Below are 10816 nucleotides of genomic sequence, written 5' to 3' on the forward strand. Positions count from 1 at the left end.
GACAGTGACCTACTGCAAACGTACCCAAGTGTAAACCCAAACTGCAGTTGCTAGGCCAGGGGTAGTATCTTCATTAGAGCAGATTAACATAGACGCTGGTCTGTAGGATGCAGCTATTGATCTGGCAAATGCTTCAGCCTTGGTAAGAGAGAGCCCATTCTTTTTTTTTTTTTTTTTAAAGACACATTTATTTAGGGTCATGATCAGACTATTACATTTAGCAATCAACAGCATGGGTGCAAAAACCAAAATCTACATTAAAGCCCTTTGTTGGACTGCTTTATGCTTTCCAACGAACAGAAATTGAAAATAATCTGTTATGCAATTAGTCATCAATACAGTCTTGGAGTTTTTTGCCCATACATATATTTGTCAAAACCATGTCTTCTTTGTAGCAGCTGGACCCTGCCACCATGGTGCTTGGCTGAGTTCACAATGTGTTGTAACCTGTAGCTTCCCTGTCCCTTCTCTGGCTCGCCTCTCCTGCTAGGCTTTCTTTCCTGGCAATAATTAAAATCTTTTGCCACTGCCATAGGTACTGCTGCTACTGGAACTGCCACAGCCACCTTGGTTTCATGGTTCGGCAAAGTATTGGCCTCCAACATCACAGGGGCCAGAGCTTCTGCCTCCAAAGTTTCCACCCTTCATGGGTCCAAAATTTGAAGACTGATTCTTGTAATTGCCAAAATCATTGTAGCTTTCACCACCTCCAAAATTGCTTCCCTCATTACCAAATCCATTATAGCCATCCCCACTGCCCCCATATTCACCATCACCACGGCTGCCACCAAAGCCACCATGACGACTGAAGTTTCCTCCACAACCCACCAAAACCACCCCCTCCACCACCACCGAAGTTTCCAGAACCACTTTGACCTCTTTGGCTGGGTGAAGCACTAGCCATCTCTTGCTTTGGCAGAGCTTCCCTACCTAACTTCAAAGTTGTGACCATTCATAGGGTGGTATTTCTTTTTTTTCTTGAGACAGAGTCTTACTCTGTTGCCCCAGTTAGAGTGCAGTGGCATGATCTCAGCCCGCTACAACCTCCACCTCCCAGGTTCAAGCAATTCTTGGGCCTCAGTGTCCTGAGTAGCTGGGATTACAGGTGTGTGCCACAATGCCCAGCTAATTTTTTGTATTTTTAGTAGAGATGGGGTTTTGCCATATTGGCCAGGCTGGTCTTGAACTCCTGGGCTCAAGTGATCCACCTGCCTCGGCCTCCCAAAGTGCTGGGATTTTAGGCATGAGCCACTGCACCCAGCCAGGATGGCATTTCTGGATGACAATCTTATCCACAGAGTCATGGTCATCAAAGGTTACAAAGACAAAGCCCCTTTTCTTGCTGCTGCCTCGTTTCAGTCATGATTTCAATCACTTCAATTTTTCCACACTGTTCAAAATAATCTCTTAGGTGATATTCTTCAGTGTCTTCTTTAATGCCACCAACAAATATCTTTTTCACAGCTAAGTGGGCACCTGGTCTTTGAGAATCTTCTGTTGAGACAGTTCTCTTTGGCTCCACAACTCTTCCATACACCTTGTGTGGCCTTGCATACATGGCGGCATCCACCTCCTCCACAGTGGCATATGTGATAAACCCAAAGCCCCTGGAATGCTTGGTGTTTGCATCTCACAGTTCGTTGAGCATTCCCCATGCTTAAAATGGCTCCTCAGGCTTTTGTCAGTTGTTTCAAAGCCCAACCCTCCAATGAAGAGCTTCTGCAGCTGTCTGGTCTCTTTAGGAGACTCTGACTTAGACATGATGGCAGTGGGAAGAGAGACTTTACCAATGCTTCTTCAGTGGAATCTACAAGCAGAAAGGCAAGGGAGCCCATTCTGTCAAACCAACATGTTGCCTGCAACTCTCTACCATCTCTAAAGTTGATTTAGCAAGCAGTAGGTGGTTAGGGACTAACCCTGCCAGTAGCTGGCATCTACAGGACAAAGTTGGAGATCTCACACTTCTTGACTTCAAACTTACTACAAAGCTACCATAATCAAAACAGTGTGGTATTGACATAAAGACAGACATATAGATCAATGGGACAAAATAGAGAACTCAGAACTAAACCCTTGCATATATGGTTCAAATAATTTTAGACAAGGATGGCGATATCAGTCAATGAAGGAAAGGACTTTTTTTTCAACAAATGGTGTTGGGACAACTGAATATCCACATGCAAAAGAACAAAATTGGACCCTTTGGTTTTGGGAATAACTCTCAAATCCATATTTTTCCTCTGCTCTCACATCACAACAATCAACACAGAAGACTTCTGTGACCAAATATGTGGATTTTTTCTCCCCCATCAACAATCAGTGGACACCAGCTGGTGTCCTCCAATTCAATTCCACCACTATCTACCTGGAGATTGCATCAGATCCCACAAGTTGAGGGCTCAGTCCCACAAGACTGACCCCTCCTTTCCCTCAGTTACAAGTCTGGGCCTCAGGAACTTTTGACCAAACTGGCTTCAAGTTGGGGTTCCTATAACCCCTTCTTTGGGTTCAATTAACTTGTTAGAGTAGCTCACAGAACTCAGGGAAACACTTACTTATGTTTACCAGTTTATTACGAACTTCCATGTGTTCAGCTATCTGGAAACTCCCTGAACCCAGTTCTCTTGGATTTTTATGGAAGCTTCATGACATCAGCATTCCTTTCCCCAGGATATAGGGTAGGACTTTCTCTGGGGCGGGCCTTAAGACCCACAATAAGAAAGGTGGGGGAAAATTAGAGTCCTGCCTTCGGGCAGATGAAAGGAAGGCAAGAGTAGGACAGAGAGATTCTGTTTCCTGAGGCCTGCCCCAGGGGCTCATTTTAACACACCCGACATTAAAAGGAAAGACTCTAACAAGGGCTATGGGGTTTCTGAGCCAGGAACCATGGACAAAAACATATGCATGTGTATATAACACTACACCTTTCCTTATACCACATATAAATAATAACTAAAAATGGATCAAAAGCCGGGCTCAGTGGCTCATGCCTGTAATCCCAGCACTTTGGGAGGCCGAGGTGGGTGGATCACCTGAGGTCAAGAGTCCAAGACCAGCCTGACCAACATGGTGAGACCCTGTCGCTACTAAAATTACAAAAAATTAGCCAGGCGTGATGGTGTGCACCTGTAATCCCAGCTACTTGGGAGGCTGAAATAAGAGACATGCTCAAACCCAGGAGGTGAAGGTTTGCAGTGAGCCGAGATTGTGCCACTGCACTCCAGCCTGGGCAACAAGAGGGAAACTCCATCTCAAAAAATAAAAATAAAAAAAGATCAAAGACCTAAATGTGGAGCTAAAACTGTAAAACTCTCAGAAAATAGGGGAAAAACTTCCCATTTAAGATAGGGGAAAACAACTGGGTTAAAAAGTGGGCAAAGGACTTAAACAGACGTTTCTCCAAAGAAGATATACAAATGGCCTCTAAGCACATGAAAAGATGCTCAAAGATGCCCAACGTCACTAATCCTTAGGGAAATGCAAATTAAAATGGCAATGAAGTACCATGTCCCACCCGTTAGGATGGCCATTATCAAAAAACAACAAGAAAGCAATGAGCGTGGGTGAAGATGGGGAGAAACTGGAACCTTCTGCACTGTGGGTGGGAATGTAAAGCAGTGCAGCTACTGTAGAGAACAGTATGGCAGTTTCTCCAAAAATTAAAAAGAGTTACTATATGATCCAGCCATTTCATTTTGGGGTATATAACCCAAAGAATTGAAAGCAGGGACTTGAACAGATAGATATACACTCATATTCATAGCAACATTATTTATAATAGCTGAAAGGTGTAAGCAACCCAAGTGTCCATCTACAGATTTTTTTGTTTTGTTTTGTTTTTTTGAGACAGAATCTTGCTCTGTCGCCCAGGCTGGAGTTCAGTGGTGCAATCTTGGCTCACTGCAGCCTCTGCTTCCCAGGTTCAAGAGACTCTCCTGCCTCAGCCTCCTGAGTAGCTGGGATTACAGGCATGCACCACCACATCCAGCTAATTTTTTTTTTTTGAGATGGAGTCTTGCTCTGTCGCCCAGGCTGGAGTGCAGTGGCACGATCTCTGCTCACTGCAAGCTCCGCCTCCCAGGTTCACACCATTCTCCCGCCTCAGCCTCCCGAGTAGCTGGGACTACAGGCGCCCGCCACCAGCCCAGCTAAATTTTGTATTTTTTTAGTAGAGTTGGGGTTTCACCGTGTTAGCTGGGATGGTCTCGATCTCCTGACGTCATGATCCACCCGCCTTGGCCTCCCAAAGTGCTGGGATTACGGGCTTGAGCCACTGTGCCTGGCCATTTGTTGTATTTTTAGTAGAGATGGGGGGTTTCCTCATGTTGGCCAGGCTGGTCTTGAACTCCTGACCTAATGATCCACCCACCTTGGCCTCCCAAAGTGCTGGAATTACAGGCATGAGCCACCATGCCTTGCCTACAGATGAATTGTTAAACAAAATGTGGTATATACATAAATGGAACATTATTCAGCCTTAAAAAGAATGGAAATCCTGACATATGCTACAACATGGATAAACCTTGACATTATGCTAGGTGAAATAAGCTACTCACAAAAAGATAAATGCCATATAATTCTATTTATGTAAGGCACTACAGGTGTCAGATTAATAGAGGGAGGCAGAAAGTACAATGGTGGTCACCAAGGGCTGGGGAGGAGGGGACATGGGTCAGGGAGCTTATTGTTTAATGGGTACAGAGTTTCTGTTCTGCAAGATGCAAAGAGTTCTGGAGATGGATGGTGGCGATGGCTGCACAACATGAATGTTCTTAATAGCATTGAACTGTACACTTAACAATGGTTAAGAAAGGGTCTTGCCCTGTTACCCAGGCTGGAGTGCAGTAGCCCTATCATAGCTCACTACAGCCCCAAACTCCTGGGCTCAAGTGATCCTTAGCCTTCCAGTGGTCTTTGTTGTAGACAACCTGATGGATTCTCATGGCACAGAAGATTAATTAAACAATGTCTTTCAATTTTAATACGTTTCTGCAATCCAAAAAAAAAAAAATAGTTAGCATGGCAAGTTTGATGTTTGTTGCGGGAAGTCCGGGACCCCGAATGGAGGGACCGGCTGAAGCCATGGCAGAAGAACATAAATTGTGAAGATTTCATGGACGTTTATTAGTTCCCCAAATTAATACTTTTATAATTTCTTATGCCTGTCTTTACTTCAATCTCTGAACATAAATTGTGAAGATTTCATGGACATTTATCACTTCCCCAATCAATACTTGTGATTTCCTATGCCTGTCTTTACTTTAATCTCTTAATCCCGTCATCTTCATAAGCTGAGGATGAATGTCGCTTCAGGACCCTGTGATGATTGCGTTAACTACAGAAATTGTTTGTAGAGCATGTGTGTTTGAACAATATGAAATCTGGGCACCTTAAGAACAGGATAACAGCGATTTTCAGGGAACAAGGGAGATAACCTTAAAGTCTGGCTGCCTGTGGGCCAGGCAGGACAGAGCCATATTTCTCTTATTACCAAAAACGGGTAAGAGAAGTATCACTGAATTCTTTCCCCAGTAAGGAATATTAATAATTAACAGCCCTGGGAAAAGAATGCATTCCCGGGGGGGCCTCTCAAATGGCTGCCCTGAGAGTGTCTGCCTTATGCAGACGTAGGTAGGGATGAAACACGCCCTAGTCTCCTGCAGCGCCCCCAGGCTGGCTAGGATTAGGAAATTCCAGCCTGACAAATTCTAGTCAGACCGGTTCTCTGCTCTTGAACCCTGTTAAGATGTTTATCAATGACAATGCGTACACAGTGGGGCATGGAAGTTCATTAGTGATTCTAGTTTCACCCTGACCTTGTGATCTCGCCCTGACCTCCTGCCTTGTGATCTTTTGTTGCTCTGAAAGCATGTGATCTCTGTGACCCACATCCTATTCGTACACTCCCTCCCCTTTTGAAAATCACTAATAAAAACTTGCTGGTTTTGCAGCTTGTGGGGCATCACAGAACCTGCCAACATGTGATGTCTCCCCTGGACACCCAGCTTTAAAATTTCTCTCTTTTGTACTCTTTCCCTTTATTTCTCAGACTGGCCGACACTTAGGGAAAATAGAAAAGAACCTATGTGAAATATCGAGGGTGAATTTTTTTTTTTTTTGAGACAAAGTCTCACTCTGTCGCCCAGGCTGGGGTTCAGTGGCATGATCTCAGCTCACCACAACCTCCGCCTCCCAGGTTCAAGTGATTCTCCTGCCTCAGCCTCCTGAGTAGCTGGAATTACAGGCGCGCACCACCACCCCCAGATAATTTTTGTATTTTTAGTAGACACGGGGTTTCACCATGTCGTTCAGGCTGGTCTTGAACTCCTGATCTCAGATGATACACCCACCTCAGCCTCCCAAAGTGGTGGGAGTACAGGCATGAGCCACCGTGCCCGGCCACATGTGACTTTATAGTTCCTCCCAAGAAGCAGTGTATCCTTCTCTGCCCCCTAGTCCAACCCAGCCTAGATTAGCAGAGCCCCAAACCATCTGTGTAAATATGAGTGGTTGTAAATGATTCTTGTCTATAATCGCTGAGTTTTGGTGTCTGTAGTGTATTTCTCAGCAATAGCAAACAAATTTTTCTTTTTTTTCTTTGAGACAGAGTCTTGCTCTGTCGCCCAGGCTGGATTGCGGTAGTACAATCTCAGCTCACTGCTGACCACAGTGAGCTGAGTGCCACCACACCTGGCTAATTTTTGTACTTTTAGTAGAGACTGGGTTTCACCATGTTGGCCAGGCGGGTCTCAAACTCCTGACCTCAGGTGATCCACCTGCCTCGGCCTCCCAAAATGCTGGGATTATAGGTGTGAGCCACTGCGCCCGGCCTGCAATAGCAAAGAAATGTAAGTACAAACATACTTCAAATTTTAAAAGAGTTTCTAAGCTGGGCACAGTGGCTCACACCTGTAATCCCAGAACTTTGGGAGGCCGAGGTGGGTAGATCATGAGGTCAAGAGATTGAGACCATCCTGGCCAAACTGGTGAAACCCCATCTCTAGTAAAAATACAAAAATTAGCTGGGCATGGTGGTACATGCTTGTAGTCCCAGCTGCTCAGGAGTCTGAGGCAGGAGAATTGCTTGAACCTGGAAGGCGGAGGTTGCAGTGAGCCAAGATGGCACCACTGCACTCCAGCCTGGGCGACAGAGCGAGACTCCGTCTCAAAAAAAAAAAAATAAATAAATAAATAAATAAATAAATAAAAAATAAAAACCCCATAAAGAAGCAGTTTCTATAATGCCTATGTACATTTCAAATAATACTAACACTAATATTAATACAAATGCTAATAAAAGAATATAAATATTTTAACCCAACTTAAGTAATAAACATTACCAAATACCTTTTCCCATTCTTTTCCCAGAGCTAATTATGATCCTGATTTTGTTAATTACCTCTTTGCCTTTCATTAATTACTTCTTTGCCTTTCTTTATAATTTTGCCAATTTTTACTTATCTCTAAGTAATAAATACATTACTGAATATTGCTTATTTTTAAGCTTTATTGTACTATGTAAACTTGGTTTGGCACAAAATTATGTTTTTGAGATTTAACCACATTGATTGAGATACTCCCTTCCCCCCGCCATTTTTTCCTTACCTTATTGGTTGCAATTGATTATTAATATTTCACATGAATATTTTACCTAATCCAAAGTTAACTAATAAACTTTATTCTGCTCCCAAATCAAAGAACCTCAGAATGCTTTAACATCAATCTCTCCACTCACAGTTAACATACCATTGTTGTCCAGTAATGTTCAACTTCACACATATAATGTTCAACACAATATATGTTAACCATTATATTGGTTAACATAATCAGTGAATTTATATTTTCCCACATTTAGGCCAGGCATGGTGGCTCATGCCTGTAATCCCAGCACTTTGGGAGGCCGAGGTGGGTGGATCACCTGAGTTCAGGAGTTCAAGACCAGCCTGGCCAACATGGTGAAACCCCGTCTTTACTAAAAATACAAAAATAAGCTGGGCATGGTGGAGGGCACCTGTAATCCCAGCTACTCAGGAGGCTGAGGCAGGAGAATCACTTGAACCTGGGAGATGGAGATTGCAGTGAACCGAGATCACATCACTGCACTCCAGCCTGGGTAACAGATTAAGACTCAGTTTAAAAAAAAAAAAATAGCAGGGCACGGTGGCTCACACCTGTAATCCCAACACTTTGGGAGGCCAAGGTGGGTGGATCACCCGAGGTCAGGAGTTCGAGACCAGCCTGGCCAACATGGTGAAACCCCATCTCTACTAAAAAAAAAAAAAAAAAAAAATTAGCCGGGCGCGTTGGCAGGCGCCTGTAATCCCAGCTACTCAGGAGGCTGAGACAGGAGAATCACTTGTACCCTGGAGGCGGAGGTTGCAGTGAGCCGAGACTGCGCCATTGCACTCCAACCTGGGCAAGAAGAGCAAAACTCCATCTCAAAAGAAAAAATGTTCCCACATTTTATTTATTCACCAATCTTTCTTGTATCTCAGACTTCTCTGTGATCATTTCCTTTTATTGGGAATTGTATATTTTAGAGTTTTTGAGAGTCTGTTAATGGTAATTATTCTCAGTATTGCTTTTTCAAAAACAATCTTTCAAAAACATCTTCAAGATGTCACAATTTTACTTTTTTCTTTTAAGAATTGCCTTGTTTGGGCAGGCAGTTTCCTGTCAATACTCACTTTCTCACGGCACTAATATTGAAGATAATAATCTACAGTTTCCTGACTTTCACTTTTGCTGCTGAGTAATTAGCTGTTCATTTTATTTTCACTCCTTTGTAGATCATATGTCTTTTCTCTCTGGCTGTTTCTTTCCAGATGCTTCTTTTTTTTTTTGAGACAGAGTTTCATTCTTCTCACCCAGGCTGGAGTGCAGTGGTGCAATCTCAGCTCAAGGCAACCTCTGCCTTCTGGGTTCAAGAGATTCTCCTGCCTCAGCCTCCTGAGTAGCTGGGATTACAGGCGCCCGCCACCATGCCCGGCTAATTTTTGTATTTTTAGTAGAGACAGGGTTTCACCATGTTGGCCAGGCTGGTCTCAAACTCCCGACCTCAGATGATTCATCACCCTCAGCTTCCCAAAGTGCTGGGCTTACAGGCATGAGCCACAGTGCCTGGCCCCCGGATGCATTTAACAATTATTCTGCTTGGGATCTGTGGGAGTTGCTGAATGTATTACATCAATGATCTCTGTCCACCTCCCTGGTTCAAGGTTTTCTCCTGCCTCAGCCTCCCAAGTAGCTGGGACTACAGGTGCATGTCACCCCATCTGGCTAATTTTTGTATTTTTAGTAGAGACGGGGTTTCACCATGTTGGTCAGACTGGTCTCAAACTCCCATCCTTAAGTGATCAACCCCCCTCAGCCTCCCAAAGTGTTGGGATTATAGGTATAGGCCACCGCACCCTGCTTTCTTTGTTTTGATACAGGGTCTTGCTCTGTCACTCAGGCTGGAGGGCAGTGGCACAATCTCAGCTTCCTGCAGCCTCAACCTCTTGGCTCAAGCGATTCTCCTATCTCAGCCTCTTGAGTAGCTGGGACCACAGGCATGTGCCACCACACCTGGCTCGTTTTTGTATTTTTTGTTGAGATAGGGTTTCACTATGTTGCCCAGGCTAGACTTGAACTCCTGACTCAAAAAATCCTCCCACGTCCCAATGTGCTGGGATTATAAGCATGAGCCATCACACCTGGCCGTATCAATTCTCAAAATTCTGAGTCCTACCCTTGCTAATATTGCCTCTCACACACATTCTCTGCTACTGCTTTCCTGACTCAATGCATGCTGGGCCTTCTCTGCTATGTGTCTTAACCTCTTTATTACTTTCATTTTTTATTTTTATTTTTGGCACTGTAGGGTACATTTTGAGTAATTTATTCAAAAGTATCCTCCATCCCACTAATTTGGTCTTTAATTGTATCTAATCTGGTGTTTGCGTTTCGATTTTTAATTGTAGTCATTATCTTTTTATATGTTAGTTGTGTTAGTTGAAGTTTGGATTTAGTTCTATTGTTTTTTCTTTCTGTGCATTCTTCCTCATGATTTTTTTTTTTTTTTTTGAGACAAAAGTCTCGCTCTGTCAGCAGGCTGGAGTGCTGTGGTGTGATCTTACCTCACTGCAACCTCTGTCTCCCGGGTTCAAGTGATTCTCCTGCCTCAGCCTCCTGAGTACCTGGGACAACAGGAGCGTGCCACCAGACCCAGCTAATTTTTGTATTTTTAGTAGAGATGGGGTTTCACCATGTTGGCCAGGATGGTCTCGATCTCTTGATCTCATGATCTACCCGCCTTGGCCTCCCAAAGTGCTGGGATTACAGGTGTGAGCCACTGTGCCCAGCTGAGCTCATAGTATTTAGAACTCTACTCTGGGGATTATTTAATACTTAAGGCTTAGTTGGTTTGAGTGTACATTTTTCCAGAAAGTATTTGTGTTTGTGTCTGCTTGGCACTGCAGACATTATCAGCCAGATCCCTGTTGTCTCCTCTTGTGGCTTTCCAGGCTACGCAGACCCCATCAACATGAAGATTGTCCATGAATGCCCAGGGAGAACTGAAAGACATGACCCCAGAGCCAAAGCAGAAATAGAACCTGTCTCTTTGCCCTCTGCTTCAGTGAGGTCAATTTTTTTTTTTTTTTTTTTTATTGAGACAAAGTTTTACTCTGTTGCCTAGGCTGAAGTGCTGTGGGGCGATCTCAGCTCACTGCAACTTCCGCCTCCTGGGTTCAAACAATTCTCCTGCCTCAGCCTCCCCAGTAGCCGGGACTAGAGGCGCCCACCACCACTTCTGGCTAATTTTTACATTTTTAGC

The 10816-nt window shown here is 44.1% G+C and overlaps 1 pseudogene; it reads right to left on the reverse strand.

Moving 5' to 3' along the window:
* Positions 556-1826, reverse strand: HNRNPA1P32 (heterogeneous nuclear ribonucleoprotein A1 pseudogene 32; annotated as a pseudogene).

Source organism: Homo sapiens, chromosome 10 (genome assembly GCF_000001405.40).
Source record: "Homo sapiens chromosome 10, GRCh38.p14 Primary Assembly".
NCBI classification, from domain to species: domain Eukaryota; kingdom Metazoa; phylum Chordata; class Mammalia; order Primates; family Hominidae; genus Homo; species Homo sapiens.